General features: G+C 47.2%; 1 long non-coding RNA gene across 1 annotated transcript in view, besides 2 other annotated features; it reads right to left on the bottom strand.

The window, feature by feature from the left end:
• The window catches only part of B3GAT1-DT (B3GAT1 divergent transcript), a 69,180-nt gene that overhangs the window by 34,481 nt on the left and 17,112 nt on the right, over window positions 1–17,587 (bottom strand). The window contains exons 2-3 of the long non-coding RNA NR_033852.1: window positions 3,566–4,841; window positions 3,194–3,316 (exon numbers count right to left, since the gene is read on the bottom strand). This is a non-coding gene — a long non-coding RNA (B3GAT1 divergent transcript). The remainder of the gene's footprint in view (window positions 1–3,193; window positions 3,317–3,565; window positions 4,842–17,587) is intronic.
• Window positions 4,053–4,617: an enhancer, noted in NCBI's record as "H3K4me1 hESC enhancer chr11:134336458-134337022 (GRCh37/hg19 assembly coordinates)". NCBI's record gives its function as "activates a minimal SCP1, AML or CMV promoter by ChIP-STARR-seq in naive H9 embryonic stem cells {active_cell/tissue: H9 hESC(naive)}" and the evidence as "EXISTENCE:reporter gene assay evidence [ECO:0000049][PMID:30033119]".
• Window positions 4,618–5,183: an enhancer, noted in NCBI's record as "H3K4me1 hESC enhancer chr11:134335892-134336457 (GRCh37/hg19 assembly coordinates)". NCBI's record gives its function as "activates a minimal SCP1, AML or CMV promoter by ChIP-STARR-seq in naive H9 embryonic stem cells {active_cell/tissue: H9 hESC(naive)}" and the evidence as "EXISTENCE:reporter gene assay evidence [ECO:0000049][PMID:30033119]".

The following is a 17,587-nucleotide window of genomic DNA, read 5'->3' as shown; positions in this document are numbered from 1 at the left end:
AGCAGAACACTGATGTGGTTTGAGTTATTTTCGTCACTTTCCACAAAATCCTGCAAGGGAGAGATGGGCTTCCACTAGCGCTAGCTCCTACGCAAACAGAGGGGGAAGGAAATACTACATTTTCTAACCCAGGCCTTGTGTCCGTTAAATGAGCATTTTTACAAAGCTAAAAAACAGCCAAATATGGCCCAAAGCTAAACAATAGCCAAAGTGAAACAGTTCTAAATGAGGGCTGTGGAGCAGGAACCCCAGCAGAAGTTAAAACTGTGACCCAAGACTTTACCAAGCATCTTTTAAGAACTCGATGCAGACAACGCAAGTCAATGCACTAGCAAGGATCGGGTGAAAAGTGTTATCATAGTCACCATTAATTTAATAGCTAAGGGGACAGACTCAGTGACAGAGGCCAGTGAGTAAAACAGATGAATATTCAAGCCTAAAAACTGCATCTGGACACAAAGAAATGGGGCTGTGGTTATTTGCACATTACAATGATCAGAAGTAAATAGGCTATATGCCCATTGGAGTGTTGAAGGAACCGTTAATATATTTCTAAAGAAATCTCAGGCCCAGTCTGAGACTACAAAAGCCCGAAAATATGCTGGATTCCCTGGTCCAACATCCCACACTGCACGGTGTCAAAATCATGCATCCTCTGGGAAGGACCAGCTCCCTAGTGCCCACATCAGAGGTGGCAATGGAGGATGATTGACAGGGAGGACCCTTCTGAAGGCGGAGCCAAAAGCCATGAAGACACAGTTCAAGGCGATGCTCCTGGAGACAGTGGGTGGGGACCACATGGGCCAGCCAAGGAACCCAGTCCACTGCCGGACGGAGAGGCCTTTTCACTCCTGCCTAGCAGGGTGGGTCCATCACTGTAAACCAGTGATCTCTGTGTTTCTCTTTCCTCCCTTTTCTGAATGGAAGATTGACATTTTTAAATTGTGGTTATTTTATCTTTCCTCTCAAGGAGAAAAGGTAGGGTAGGTTGGGAAAAAAATGGCCTGTCTTTTAGTTCATAGGTCACCAGCCATGAGAAGCCACATCTGGGACTGATGGAGCAGACTGCCCACACACAAGCTAGATGCAGAAACTGGGTGTGATTTGGGAGTGGTGGCTTGGGAATCAGAATGCGCTCTATGTGGAAGAGCAATGTCTGTGGAAATCAGAGAAAACCACAGTGGCAGATGCAGCAGACATTGCTAGGGGCCTTTCCCATATTCATTCTTTGTTGGTAGCATATCCTTATTTTATTAAGGGTAGCAATGTGCCATTGAAAAACTACATTTCCCAGCTTCCCTTGCTGGTAGTTATGGCCATGTGACTAAATGCCGACCAATGAGATGCAGACAGAAGATTATGTGTGATCTTTGTAGAGAAACGCCTTTTTCCCGCCTTTTCTCTTTTCCCCAGTTTCTACCTAGAATATGAACATGATAGGTAGAGTTGCACTCACTGTCACTGTTTTAGTCCATGAGAAGACCTGAAAATGAAAATAATGTGACAAGAACTCAGAATATAAATACTACCATGTTTGCTCATTGCCAGATTTCTATTACAGGAAGGGTGAGAAACAAACCTTCTGTTTTGTTTAAGCTATTGATCTTCTATATCCTCTTCTTTAGCTGGAAGTAGAATATAATTCTTACCTGATTCAAGCTCATCACCTACGCTTTTGGTGTCAATTTTAGCATCTGCAAAATGGGGATAAAAAAAAAACTATATCCAAGACTTCTTTGTGAGAATTTAAATGACATAATATATTTTAAAAGTCCAGCTCCAAACTTGTCACATAATAATTGCTGGATAAATAGAAACTATTCCTGCATTTACTACTATTACTAGTAGCATTATTATTATTATATAATCACTAATGACTAGGTCAAGCCAAGATCGAAACATAAGTATTCTAACAGCCAAACCTTTGCTTTTGCAGTTTGTAATCTTACTAATTCTCAACACCTTACCCTGAGCTACAGATAGACTCAAAGCACCAGAATAAAGGACAGAAATATTTGAGGCCCAGATGAGGAAGGTTTGCTGCAAGCAGCAGGCAGAGGTTAGAGCAGGATCAACCTGCTTTTTCTGTAAAGAGCCTTATAGTAAACATTCTTGCTTTGCAGGCCATACGGGTTCTGTTGCAGGTGTTCAATGTTGCCATCACAGCATAAAAGCAGCCATGGGCAATGTGTAAATGAAAGAACATGGCTGTATTCCAACAAAACTTTATTTACCAAAAAGGCAACAGGCTGGCTTTGGCCAGCAGGGCCTGGTTTGCCAATCCCCTGCCTAGAGGGATGTCCTGTGAGAAAAGACGCAAAAGAGACATGGAGGAGGCCCTAGTTCTGCAGCAATCTGTCCCAAGGCCCGGAGAAGGTCACAGATGCCCCTGTGCCCCCTCCAGCTTGTCCCCCAGTGCTCAGCACCTCAACACCGTGCTCTTCCTGGGCTCAGAACAAGGCGTGTGCAGCTGCACACCCCCTGCATGAAGGTTTCCTCCTCACCCCCACTCCATCTCACTGGACTAACTCCTACTCATCCTGCAGTTCCCAGCCTAGACGCTTAACTATCACACCTTTCAGAAAACCTTCCCGGCCCCAAGCCCGCTGCACTGTGCTGCATCACCCGGTCGCCTCCTTTGTCACACTCTGCTCAGGCACAGACTCTGTGCTCAGGTGCTAGGAGGATACTGCTGGGGCTCACACTGCCTGCTCAGGAGTCATCAGAGAAGGAAGTTTCAAGCCGGAGGTCAAACACAGGGGGAGCTTGGCAGAATGCGAGGAGAAAGGAGCAGGAGTTTGGGGTCCCAGGGCCAGGCAGAGGCATGCAGGTCAGCTGTGAGCACCTCCTCCTCACCTCCCCTCTGCCCCAGCGAGCAGCATCTGCCCAGTCCCACTCCCTGTAGGCTCTCTGCCAGAGGCCGCATCACCAGCAGGCTGTTAACCTTGGTAATGAAAAGCAACAACTTTATGGGCACCAGAAACTGGCGAAGCTCATCAATTTTATTCATAATAGAAAATTATTGCTTGAAGGCAGGGCACAGTGGCTCATGCCTGTAATCTCAGCACTTTGGGAGGCCAAAGCAGGCAAATGGCTTGAGGTCAGGAGTTTGAGACCAGCCTGACCAACATAGTGAGGCTCCGTCTCTAAAAAATAAACATACGAAATATTAGCCAGGCATGGTGGTGCTCACCTGTAGTTCCATCTACTCAGGAGGCTGAGGCGTAAGAATTGCTTGAGCCTGGGAGGCAGGGGCTGCAGTGAGCCGAGATTGTGCCATTGCACTCCAGCCTGGGCAACAAGAGCAAACCTCCATCTCAAGAAAAAAGAAAAAAGGAAATTAATATTTGGAAAGAGTAAGCCAGCAGCAGTAAGGACCTCTGGTTTCAAATTGTTCTGTGAGGAAAATGCACTAGGAGAGAAGAAAAGACACACACACAATACCCTTAAGGGTGAACAAGCTTTATCTCACATAAATGGTAATGCAGATATAATACGCAAATGATATAAGCAAATTGCAATGGGAAGGGGAGAAGGGAAAAGACATATATATATTTACACTCACCAGACTACGGAGGATTCACCACCAGACTGGGAAGCAGCAGGCTGGGCTCCAGAGTCAGACACTCGTTCATGCACAGATGAGGAGAGGTCTCACAGAGCTTCAGTGCGGTCTGGGACCTGAGCTCTGTTGTTACTTGTTACAAGTTGTTTGTCATGAGGCCCAGTCACGACGGCACTTCATGATTGGGCTCAAGGAACACAAAACGGGCAACTTGCTTTTGCGATTGTCTGTTGTTTTTCAGTAACTAACGTATAGGAATAAATTGAAATAGAGATTTCTCCAAAACAGCGCTGGATGAACCCCTGAAGAGGCTCACACAACCTGTTCCGGGACTTGGTGACCATTGTTTGTGTCCACATTCAGTTGAGTCCAAATTAATATTTAACTTTTCCTCCACACAAATATGAGCTGGGAGGTGCGGAGTTTCCTGACATTGAGGGTTACTTTCCCCTTTATTACACCGCACCAGAAGTACTGTCTTATTTTTATGGGGGTATTCTTTGTTTTCCAGTTCCAGGAATTCCATTTGTATTAGGAGGAGGTAGGGGAGGACAGTCTACCTCTGTCCTTTCCCCTCCCCTCATGTCATTGGAATGAAGAGGGTATGGGTGCAGCCCACGGCGGGCAGCTTTTCCTCCTCTGGCCCTAACCCACCAGACAGCATCTGGTTCTCAACGCAGAGCTTTGGGGAGTGGGGTGGGGGAGAAAACAGGAATGGAGAATAGAAGAAAAGAAAGAGAGAAGGAGGGAGGGAGAGGGGAGAAAATGCAGCGCTAACTGGCATTGACCAAGAGCCAAGCACGAGCTAAGCACGTCATGGGCTTTACCTCTTTAATCTCATTTAACTTTCACAACAATCCTCTGAAGTTAGAATGATTTTCCGTGCTCTCGAGATGAGGAAACTGTGTCTCAGGAAAAGTAAGTAAGCTCTCAACACCTGTTACTCAAACCTGGGCCTTGAGACTCATGCCCGTGCTGCCCAGGGCAGCCCCCTCCATGGTGCCCACCGCGGCCGCCGGCTCTGCAGCCCCTCGCTCACTCCTGTCCTGCAGCCCCGTGCTGAGGCTGCATTCTGGCATCCAGGATCCATCCGGAGCTGCCGTGATTCCAGGGCGGCTCATGACTGTATAATTAAGGGGAAGGCAGAGGCGTCGCCAAATAGGACCAAGGGCCGACTGCAGGAGCTGCCAATCCTCCACACAGACGCACGCACGGCGCTCCTCTGAGGGGTGGGGAAGCCGTGGGGCCTCCTGTGGAGAAGCACATCCCATCTGCACTGCAAGAGGAAGCGTTTTGGTTAAGAAACAGCGCCTTATGCTCTTCACACAAATTCACCCAGACTCAGGAGTCAACAGCTGCTTGACTTTCCTGAAAACGGCTGGTGCAAGCCCTTCTCCAGGAGCACATGAAGTGGCCAGTCATGGCTGCCTCTGCGGAGAGGAAAACATGCTTGAAACTGAATTGCTTCCAGAAGGGAACTGTAACAAACTGTAACAAATCTTTTAATTTGACCCTCCCGCTCACTGTGTAGAAGGAACCCGTGGTGAATTTTGGCTGGATATGGGGCCACTGGGGCAATGTGGTTTGGGTTATGAGTGTGAGCTTCAGTGTGGCACATACCAGGCTCAAATCCATACCCTACTCTCACTGCGCTTACTTCAGATAAGTTCTTCAACCTCTGGGTAAGGCTCCATGCTAATAAGCTGTAATAATAACCCTGACACAGTCACTGTAAGGACTGAAGAGGCGACACATGGGTGGAACTAAGCACTTGGTAAGCCCCCCATACATGTGGGCAGTTACGGAGCAGAGAGAATGCAGGCCTGACACTGGGAGGGCAGGTCAGGGGTTGTTTTTTGCTGGGACAATTCTCAACATGTGTTTTTCCCTACAACCACCCTACTTCACCTATCATTGAGACGTAATTGAAATATGGCTTCTCCCAAAATTCAGGAAATCAGGGTCTAGAGAAGTTCTATTGTTAGGCATAGGCATATACAGTGTCATATGGTCTCCACTCCACCCACCCCTCCTGCCCCAGCAGATCCAGCATGCCATGCCTGGAAACAGGAGAGCTTCACAGGGCACTTACGGAATCCACCAAGCATCTCCTCCTAAGGGCCACTAGGACCAGCCCACAGACATGGGAAAGCGCTGACTACCTTGTTTGCTGTGATGTTTCAGTACATAACTCCTGTTCTCCTAGAGCATTTCTCTTTTGTAAGTGAATTGGTATAGTGCTTGAATCCAGAAGGAGGGATCCTGGACTCCCCTCGTAAGCTCCCGGGAGCTTAAGAAATCAGCTGACAATTTCCTGTTGTCGAATTGTTCTAGCAGCATGAATGCGTCCAGCATAGACTCTCCCTGGTGTGAACTGGCCTGAAAGTTTTTACACCATCCTTTGGCAAGGAAGATGAGAAGCTTTTCCGTGAAAGAGTACACACAGCCCATGCATGACATAGCTCCAGGTATGTGCTCATTGTGATAGGAAAGGGCATCGGGAGGCCGAGCACCTTCAGCAAGAGGCCTGTGAGAAATGATTATCTAGAGGGTGTCGCTTCCATTCCCAACTCATCCCAGGCAGAGGTGATTCTCACCTTGCATTCGGGGCCACAAATGAGCGCTCTTGCAAATAGGCAGCACAGAAGAGCATCTTCATCCAGACCTCTTAACTCTCATAGGAAACATTAAGGCCATGACTATCCCATCCCAGGACTTTATTATGGTGTGTTTTAAATGCCATTCACCCTCCAGGTGGCCCCTCTGCTCACAGAATAAGTTCTCTGTGGTCTTAAATCTGTTAGCAAAATGAGGATGTAAATCCTCAGTGACTTGAGCCTGCTGTTCATATTTCTGAATAATCTGGGAATTTTGAAAGCTTGGAGGTGACTGACCCTGATTTTAAAATGTACCCAGGATTTATTTTAATTGGACACGACAAGGCCAACAGATCAGGAGACGCTTGTCTTTGAAAAGATAGTTTGTTACAGTTCCCAAGAGGAGGGGCAGTCCATACCACCCCGCTCAGGGCCATGTGGAGAAGCACCAGGTCAGTCAGGGGTGGGGACGAGAGGAGAACTTGGGCAAAATCCTTGGGAGTGGTGAAAAGGAATGGGGAGGCAGGGGGAGGGCTGGGCAGGCTCAGGCCTGGGTAGTTTGGGATTCCAGAAGGCTCTGGTTACACGGGCAGTCTCTAGCTGCCCGGCACCTGGCCCTGAGATGATTAGGGCAGGGAGATAGTGTCCCAGACTGCAGGATCCTGATCACGGGCGCTCCAGCCTGGTGGGTTTGCATATCAAAGACCTGCTGGCAGGCAAGTTGCTGGTGATCTCCAGGAATGAGCAAACCCTGGGAGAGGCAGTCTCTCTCTGGGTCCTCAAGGGCATCATAAAATACAGAAAATAAAAACATAATTAATAAAACGTTTTCCAGTGGTCATATTGCATTTGAGTTATAAAGTGTTTTATGAGTAGTGTCATTAGTCTTATTGCTATACATGGTCTCCCTGTCTATACCCTTCTTTTGAATCATTATCAACATAATGTTAAATTCAGTCCAGAGGAAGCACTAAAGAATCCTCCACAGAACCTCACAAGGGGGCCCTGCACATTCTCCTCAAACATTCACAAGGGTGTGGCTCTGTGGTGCCAGCAGCACGGCCCTCAGCAAGCTGGTGGGCATGGAAAGCTGTGTTTCTATCCTACAGTTTCAACAAGCACAGCTCATCCAATGCCCTGGATAAAAGAAAGGAGAAAGAGCGAGATGTGAGTGCCAGTGTGGACGCCGTAAGCCATGAGGAGAAAGCCAGCATCCCTGCGGGCCCCTGTGTTCCTTACTTCAAGGGGTGGAGGGGCTCCTCAGTGTACCCTGGGAACCTGGCTGCTCAGAAGGACATCTTTAGCAAACTCCAAAGCAGGGCTCCTGGCCCTAGAAAAGGATAGCATTTTACCTCACAAATGGGACTTACAGACGTATTTATCAAATTATTATTATTTCACAAGGTAATGCTCAATTTTATACATTTTTTTTTGTTTCTTAATGCTGTCTATAACCTACCAAACTGATTTCACAAGCAGTCATGGGTTTTAACCTGCAGTGTGAAAAAGCTGCTCTAAAGAAACGCAAAGCCTTCCAGGAGACTCAGTGAGATGCCACAGCTGATATCGTACAGGTAGTTTATTTTTAACTAAATATATTTACTCTTTTTATAAAAATGACATATTTTCCATGTAAAAATTCAAACATGTGAAATCCCCCCAAAAAAGAGAAAAAAAAAACTCTCTCAGACCTGAAGACACTTACCACTTACTTTTTAGTGACCTCCCTTTCAGAATACTCCCTTTCACATATAGACATTGATATACCCTACTATACAATGGGCATTGTAGGATACTGTCCAGGCTATAGGATACTATACATGCCGTTCTATTATTCTGTTTCATGAAAAATGGCATTCAAGTCTCTTCATTTTCATCACTATCTTTAAGGGTTAGTGTTTTATTGTAAGGATCTCCAATAATTTGCTCTACCAATTCACTATTGATAGGCATTTTCAATGTTCCCATTGTTTTACAATTATAAATGATACTTTAATGAACATCCTTGAGTATGCATCTCTTTATACCGCTGTAATTTTCTACTTATGATAAACCTGGAAGTGGACTCATTGATTCAGAGAGTAAACACTTTTATATTTAATACATAGTACCAAACTGCCCCCAAAATGATATGACAACTCTCCCTAATAGCACTTAAGATTGTCCAAATCCTCACAACACCTCTAACACTGGGTTTTGTCCATTTAAAATTTTTTTCAATACAATAAGAGAAAATATCTTATTATTGTTGGTATTTGCATTTTTTTAATTTCTAGTGAGGATGAGTATCTTTGCATAGCCTAATTATACATTTGTATCTCTTTTGTATGTTTGTGTGTGCAAATTACCTGTTCAAACCCTTCACCCATTTTTCTCTTTTGGGTTGTTCTTGTTCTTTTCTTACTGATTTGGAAGAAGAAGTGATGTTCAGTGGTTGAGCATGAGCTCAAAGTCAGACTGTCCAGGTTCAACCTCCTGTCATGTTTTTAAATCTGCATAAGCCCAGGCAAGAGTTGAGCTCTCCATGTCTCTGTTTGTTCATTTGTAATCTTGGATAGTAATTATGGTAATGATATCTCCTTCTTAGAGTTGTGAGCATTATATGTGTTAGCGAGTCCAACATCCATAAGCCTGTGCCTGGCACATAGTAAGTATTCAATAATACTATGTTAAGGATAGGGTGAAAGTCAAGGTGTTTTGACAATTATGTGGCATGGACATCAACCCATTAGGATGGAAATCAGCTGCAGCACTGGAGCAGCATCCTGAAGTCACTGTCTGAGTCTGTATTGTGCTGCTGCAATGGAATACCACAGTCTAGGTCATTGATAAAGAACAGAGATTCATTTCTTACAGTGCTGGGGGATGGGAAGTCCAAGGTCGAGAGGACCTCATCTGGCAAGCACCCTCTTGCTGTGTCATCCCATGGTGGAAGGTGGAAGGACAAGAGAGTGCAAGAGAGCAAGAGACAGAGAAGGGGGACTGAACTCATCCTTTCCTCAGGAGCCCAATCCCATGATAACTAACCCACTCCCAAGATGAGTAACTGACTCCCACAATAACTAACTCACTCTCAAGATAAGTAACTGACTCCCACAATAACTCACTCACTCCCAAGGTGAGTAACTAACTCCCACAGTAACTAACTCACTCCCAAGATAAGTAACTGACTCCCGTGATAACTAACCCATTCCCAAGATGAGTAACTCACTCCCACAATAACTAACCCACTCCCAAGATAAGTAACTGACTCCCATCATAACTAACCCAATTCCAAGGTGAGTAACTGACTCCCACAATAAGTAACCCACTCTCAACATGAGTAACTCACTCCCAGGATAACTAACCTACTCCTGAGATAAGTAAACTCACTCCCAGGATAACTAACCCACTCCAGAGGTGAGTAACTCACTCCCAGGATAACTAACTCACTCCTGAGACAAGTAACTCACTCCCAGGATAACTAACCCACTCCTGAAGTAAGTAACTCACTCCCAAGATAACTAACCCACTCCTGAGATAGTAACTCACTCCCAGGATAACTCACTCACTTCCAGAATAGTTAACTCACTCCTGAGACAAGTAACTCACTCCCAGGATAACTAACCCACTCCTGAGATAGTAACTGACTCCCAGGATAACTAACCCACTCCCAAGATGATGGCATTAATCCATTCATGAAGACTGAGCCCTCATGACCTAATTACCTCTTAAAGATCCCATCCCTCAAAAGTGTGCATTGAGGATTAAGTTTCCGACACATGAACCTTGGGGGACACACTCAAACCACAGCAGACATTAATCTATAAATTCCTGAATGTGGGAAAAGGTAGAGCTGGTCCCAGGGAAGTCAGTGGCAGGGTCCACAGCCTTGGGAGACTCAGACAGGCAGCTGTCTGCCAGCTGGTGTGGGTGGGCTGTCATGTTCTAACTCGAAGACAAACTGTGCAGCCCTCACCAGCCTGGCATCACCACCAGCATGCCATGTGTGAGGCAGAAGGCTTCCAGGTTCTCAGTGGTCTTCCATCTTTGTTTGTGGTTTTCTAAAGCTTTACAATTTTATGTGATCAGAATGATCTATCTTCCTTCGTGCTTCTGGAAGGCCTTAGCCACCAAAGATTATACAAATATTCATTCATGTTTTTGTTCAGTATTTTTCCGGACTCCTTTGAATATGTAAAATCTCAGAGAGTGAATTTCCATTTTCCATGGCTGTTCAGCTTTTTGAGCAGATACATTCTCATTGCCAGAAGGCCTATTCTGTAGGTTACAACTTAATTTATACAAATATATATAAAGTATATATATACCAATGTATAAATATAATATTTATATCTGCAATAAGAAATAATAGGTCTTCAGTTGCTCCACAGTTCTGTGGTGCATGCCCAGCTCCCTGAGGCCCACAGATGAGCCTGGGTCCCGTGGGTCATGCTCAGAGCTCCCTGAGTCCCTCCTGAGCACAGCTCCCCATTACATTTACGGGTGCTTATTTGATGAATGGTTGTGTCTCCCACACACTTCAGTAAGTTCCACAAGGACAGACAATGTCTCAGCTCACCATTCTGGCCCCAGAGACAAGCACAGAGCTGAGAGTAGAGTGCATGCCACAGATAGAGAGCAGGAGGGAAGACGGAGAGAGAGTGATGAGAATGAGCCGGGGGTGGGGAGACAGAGAGCAAGAGAGAGCAGGGAGGAAAGCAGCATCAGTCTTTGTGCCTTTGTTCCTCCCCACCCCCAGCCCATCACTCCACTGGGCTCACCCAGAAATAGGTGCCCAAAACAGATGGTTCAATTAAATTGAATATAGTTGAATTGCAGGTGGCTGTTCGGCTCCCAGAACCCAGCGTGCAGACGCGCCTGTGACTGACCACCTATGCAGTCTCCAATCTAGCTATTTGTGTATGTCTCTTTCTCTCATGAGACTGGAAAGTCCTCGAAAACAAGGACCTTCTATCATTCATTCTTATATCCTCGCCCTCCTTACACTGAGTTTGAGCTCAGAAAATGTTTGGCAAATGAGAGACAGAACCGTGCAGCACCCTAGCCTGAGCCTGGGGCAGCACAGCCTGCAGCAGCCCAGCCTCCAAGGCTCCTCCCATCAGGTCTCAGCCTCAGCAGCTCCCTCGCCCCAGCCAACATCCCTACACCTCCATCCCACATTAGCAATAGTTATTGGATGTGTAAATTACCATCAATGGAGTGACAAAGACTCAATTAAAGAAGGAGATCTGAAGTCAAAGCTGTCACCTCAGAGAAATCAGCCTTGACAGATAACAGCAGCAGCTCTGCAGGGCAAGTACTCAGAGGTAAGGGCTGGAGGGACCCCTTTCCTCACCCCTGGCCCGCTTTGTGTGGGAGAAGGGTGGGATCTGTCAGGGACTGCTGTCACCTCCCTGCCCGGGCAGGCCCTGAGGAGGGCCGGGAGCCACAGGGAAGCTCTCTGCATCATCCACCTCCTCCAGCCCTCTGAGAAAGAAGAGCCTGAGCAAAGATGCAGAGAACACTTGGCTGAGCTGGCACCACTCAGCAAGCAGCCTCCTGCGAGGGGGCCATGAGAGGGCACTGACCCTGCACTACCGCTGCACATCTGCACAAGCTGGGCATTCAGGCCAGAGTGCAGGGTGGCTGCTGGCCATGTCTCACTGCTGCCAAGCCCAGGGCAATGGTGGGAGCTGCGCGACTTCCCCATGCCTCCATGTCCCTGCTTATAAAACAGGACCTTTCCAAGAACAAGGTAGCTGTGGTCAGAGGAAAGAAGCACACACTCTGTGCTTCCATGTTCACCCAGCACCAGCTGACTAGGGGCTGCCAGCTCACCAGGCCATCCTCACTTCCTACTTCTCCCATGCTGCCCCAAGGGGTCAGGCCCTGGCTTCCCCTCAAGCATCCTCCAAGCCAGTATGACACATGCCGAGCCTGGCACCTCAAAACCTGCTCCCTCACAGTTCCCACAGAACATTTTAGCCTCATCAGCCCACCCTTGAACAACCCTAGGTCCCAAACCCAGTCCTACAGTCCTACACCCTATAAACATTTCTCACAGTTCCCACCTGATTTCATTCCCCTTTTTGTGCAATCCCACAGCAAATTCCACCTCAACACTTCTTATGCTATACTATTTTTAGTTTTACATTTTCATATTATTATGTTAATATGAAATATTATTCATATAATATTACTAATTATTACATTATTAATATTAATACCACAAGTTTACATGCTCTTAGAGGGCATCCTTGATATACGTCAGCTCAATAATATGCACATATTATAGACTCAGGGAATGTATTTTGGATAGATGAATGAACACATACCTAAATGAATAAATCAACATAACTTACCAAATCCAGGTCTGTAAAAAGAGAATTACAATGAATGGGTTGATGTGAGGAACACTTATTATATAATGAATAATAGTGTTTTGCAATCTGAAAATAATTATCCAAGAGTGTACTATTTTTTCTTTTTTAATTTGGAGACGGAGTCTCACTCTGTCTCCCAGGCTGGAGTACAGTGGTGTGATCTCGGCTCACTACAACCTCCACCTCCCAGGTTCAAGTGATTGTCCTGCCTCAGCCTCCCGAGCAGCTGGGACTACAGGCACGTGCCACCACTCCCAGCTAATTTTTGCATTTTTAATAGAGATGAGCTTTCACCATATTGGCCAGGCTGGTCTCAAACCCCTGATTTCGTGATCCACTCGACTCAGCCTCCCAAAGTGCTGGGTTTACAGGCGTGAGCCATTGCACCCAGCCAAAGTGTGTACTATTATTGAAGTTATCTTTACAAGTTCTCTCCCTATCTGTGTTTTCCGGCAGCAAAAATACTGTGACACCACAGTGACAGAAGCCTTAAGCAAGGACGGTGTGACAGGACAGAAACAGAGGCCTTAGGCAAGGATGGTGTGACAGCACAGAGACAGAGGCCTTAGGCAAGGGTGGTGTGACAGCACAGAGACAGAGGCCTTAGGCAAGGGTGGTGTGACAGCTCAGAGACAGAGGCCTTAGGCAAGGGTGGTGTGACAGCTCAGAGACAGAGGCCTTAGACAAGGGTGGTGTGACAGCACAGACACAGAGGCCTTAGGCAAGGATGGTGTGATAGCACAGAGACAGAGGCCTTAGGCAACGATGGTGTCACAGCACAGAGACAGAGGCCTTAGGCAAGGATGGTGTGATAGCACAGAGACAGAGGCCTTAGGCAAGGATGGTGTGACAGCACAGAGACAGAGTCCTTAGGCAAGGATGGTGTGATAGCACAGAGAAAGAGGCCTTAGGCAAGGATGGTGTGATACAGCACAGAGACAGAGGCCTTAGGCAAGGATGGTGTGATAGCACAGAGACAGAGGCCTTAGGCAACGATGGTGTCACAGCACAGAGACAGAGGCCTTAGGCAAGGATGGTGTGATAGCACAGAGGCAGAGGCCTTAGGCAAGGATGGTGTGACAGCACAGAGACAGAGTCCTTAGGCAAGGATGGTGTGATAGCACAGAGAAAGAGGCCTTAGGCAAGGATGGTGTGATAGCACAGAGACAGAGGCCTTAGGCAAGGATGGTGTGATACAGCACAGAGACAGAGGCCTTAGGCAAGGATGGTGTGATAGCACAGAGACAGAGGCCTTAGGCAAGAATGGTGTGACAGCACAGAGACAGAGGCCTTAGGCAAGGGTGGTGTGACAGCACAGAGACAGAGACCTTATGCAAGGGTGGTATGACAGCACACTTATGAAAGGTCTTAGGAGGAAAGATAGCCATTTAAAGCCAAGGTTTGAGTCACAGTGAAGCAGTGGTTTTGGTTTTTTGTTTAGCTTTATTTTGTTTTCCAAGCAGGTTATCCCTTAAGTGATTTTTCTGTCCCTTAGGTCGCATTGCACTCCTAGACATTACCACTCACTGAGGCCTTTTCATGTCCTGGAATACCTTGAAAATAGACCAACTAGAGATGGGTAGAAGAGAAACAGAAGGGAAGGCTATGCACAGGCTACATTTATGATCACGGTGGGAGAGAAGATTTGTAACAGACAAGAATACAAACCTCTCACACTGCAAAGAAGGTTGCCCCTTCCCACACGCACTAACAGAAGGGCCTCTGAACCCCCACTCCTCCCACCTGCCAGCATTGTCTTCTAAAGACAAAGACCCCTCTCGCCTTTCTAAGTGGATATTGACAAATGAGGGAACATGTATGCTCACAAAGGAGGAGAGCTCGCATGGCCCACAGAGCTTGAGCTCCTCAAAAGTGGAAGAAATCCCATGGGAGAAGATGGACTTAAGCGACAGGATGAGGCTGTTTCTTCACTCTTGGTAGTTAATGGAGCATCAGGCTAGAAAACCAGACCTTGCAGTACCTCCATTTCTGATAAAGACCACAGAACCCCTTCCTGAGCCTGGAGACCGCATGGTGGTAGGAGAGGGGGGTTGGAAGGGGGAAAGTTCACAGCCCTCGTGGGACTATCACTCAGCAGCAGAACAGCATCTGTCAAACGCATCACACTGATTCCTGAGATTCTGTTTTACTTCCAGCAATATAAGTCAATATAGGTAAAAATGAGAAACTAAGTTTAATCAAGCGGCAAAAACAGAAGAAATCATGGCATTTTTCAATACGCTCGAAATTACTTTGGCAATCCTCGAGTGCTCTAGGAGTCCCTGTCAAGCATGCCCAGAGGAACACAGTGGCCATCTGAGGCTCTGCAGAACTGCTGCTGCAGCCTCTGGAGAAGCACCCACCCCAAGTGCAGAGAAGGAAGATCCAACCACTAATCTCAACCCTTTCTGAAAAAAGACATGCATTGGCCTACACACATGTGCAGAATTTCACTATTTAAAAAAATTTGGCATACATTTAATGGGGCACCTCTGTTTCCTCCTAAAATGCAGGTAGATGGAATGTATTACAGTATGGAATTTCCTTAGAAGCAAGAAAATACAGTGCAGCATTTGAGTGTCTGCTCTGGCCTAGGCACTGTGTGAGGTATCAGAACTGTTGCTGAAAAGGGGTCCCAATCCAGACCCCAAGAGAGGGTTCTTGGATCTCGTGCAAGAAAGAAATTGGGGTGAGTTCATAAAGTGAAAGCAAGTTTATTTAAAAAGTAAAGTAATAAAGAATAAAGTGAAAGCAAGTTTATTTAAAAAGTAAAGTAATAAAGAATTGTTACTCCATAGGCAGAGCAGCCCCAAGGACTGCTAGTTTTGCCCGTTTTTATGGTTATTTCTTGATTCTATGCTAAACAAGGGGTGGATTATTCATGAGTTTTCTGGAAAGGGGTGGGCAATTCCTGGAACTGAGTGTTCCGCCTTTTGTTAGACCAGATAGGCTAACTTCCTGGTGTTGCCATGGCATCTGTAAGCTGTCATGGTGCTGGTAGGAGTGTACCAGTGAGGATAACTAGAGATCGCTCTCATTGCCTTCTTGGTTTTGGTGGGTTTGGGCCAGCCTCTTTACTGCAACCTGTTTTACCAGCAAGGCCTTTATGACCTGTAACTTGTGCTGACCTCCTATCTCATCCTGTGACTTAGAATGCCTAACCTATGGGAGTGCAGCCCAGCAGGTCTCAGCAAGGCCCTACTCAAGATGGAGTTGCTGTGGTTCAAACGTCTCTGATAGAACCAGGGTGGTTCTTGCCCTCAGGATGCTCACAGGCCAATGGAAGAGACCGTGAGCAGGTGGGGTGATCACGAGCTATGTGGAAGGGCTGGAGGGGAGATGCACAGAGTCTTTAGGAGCACCCAGAAGGGACGCCAGTGCAGTTGTCAGGGGAAGCTGATGTCTAAGGGAGGCTTGAAAGGTGAGGACTTAGCCAAGGCAAGAGATTCAAGGGATGACAGGCAGAGGGAACAAGAGACACAAATGTCCATGCACAAAAGAGAGGGCAGCACTTCCAGGAACTGCAAGGAGTTTAACCTGGCTGGAGGCCTGGGCGGTGGAGAGAGAGAAATGATATTGGATATCAGGTCATGACAGACCTAGAGGTTTGCCTTGGCCTTTATCCTGTGGACAATGTGAAGCCATGAAAGGAACTAGAGCTAATGGATGACATGAGCAGATTCACAAACTTAAAGGTACCAAAAATGCAACACAGAGAATGGGTGGGAGGATGACAGATACCTATTAGGAAGCTGCTGTGACAAACAGGCAAGGAATGGTGGTGGCTGGAGCCCGAGTGACAATGCTAGGGATAGGAGTCATGAAGGATTTGTGGAACATTCAGGATGTCAAATCAGTAGGTATCGGAAATCTATTGGGTGTGGTGGGAGAGGAGTAAAAGGATGCCCTCGGTGATCAGGTACAGAGCAGAGCTGTTCACCAAGATAGGAAGGAACATACATTGAGGTTCCCACATGTTATTTGCCTGACCCGCAGTTTGGATCTCCGTCTACTCAACCAGCACTTGCTGAGCAGCTCCATGTGCCCTTCCCTGAGCTGGTGCTTTGCAGAGGCTAGAAGATACAGTCGCTCAGGACTGCCCAGCTAGTAGGAAGCCAGCCTTGAACCTGCTCTCCCTGCCATGCTGACCTCAGCTCCGTAGCCTGGGTGGCTACCTCCCTGCCATTGGATCCTGGTGGTCCTGGGTCCAGGGCCATTCCTCAGCCTTCCCGTGTAGCCTGGTCTTGCTGTAAGTGAGCTTCCATGCCTTGCTGGTGAGCCCGGAAAGAAGGCAGTTAGGAATAGGGGAGGTGCAGCAGCTGCATAAATAAGATGGCCAGAGTTCCCCTAAGACCTCCCTTCAGTCCTGGACTGCAGGTGGCAACTCCAGAATGGAACCCTCCCAGCATCCTGGACCCAGGCAACCAAACTCTTGTCCCTGCTGTCTCCATTAGAGTGCTCACACCTAGTTGTGTGCATGCTGTCTCTCACACATACACACACACACACACACACACAGCAGCAGCAGCAGCAGCAGCAGAAGCAGGGACAGTTTCTCCTCTAAAACACATAGCAACTTCAAAAGATGTGCTTCTCTGTTTATTAACCACCCTCTTTCCTCGCTCCCTATTTTGGAAGCCTTGGGGCCCAGGCTAAAAATAATGGGATCACAGATATGTAAGGACCTTGCATAATCAAAAGCAACCTCTTCTGAAAGGACAAACAGAAGCTTGTAACAGCCCAGGAGCACCCCAGCCTACCCCCACCTCCCAGCCCATCGCACTCTCCTGCCGCCTAGACCACAGTCACATTTCCATCTCCTCCCAGTGCCAACAGGGTGGAAAGATGTTCCTGGGAGCTCACAATTATGTTGAGTCAACCTGTAGACACACACAAGTTAACTGGGGCCCCCTTCCCAACACCCCCGGCACAGTGCTGGCCAGAGCCGCCGTGCAGCTGGGGCCTCGTGACTTTGGATGCATCACTGCCAGGAAATCAGATTAATCTGCTTGGCTGCCACTGCAGCTACAGCAGCACCCACAGGCCAGCCCCACCAATTT

This window comes from Homo sapiens, chromosome 11, assembly GCF_000001405.40.
Source record: "Homo sapiens chromosome 11, GRCh38.p14 Primary Assembly".
NCBI lineage: Eukaryota > Metazoa > Chordata > Mammalia > Primates > Hominidae > Homo > Homo sapiens.
Note: the sequence above shows the minus strand (reverse complement) of the source record. Positions and strands in the feature narration are given on the sequence as shown.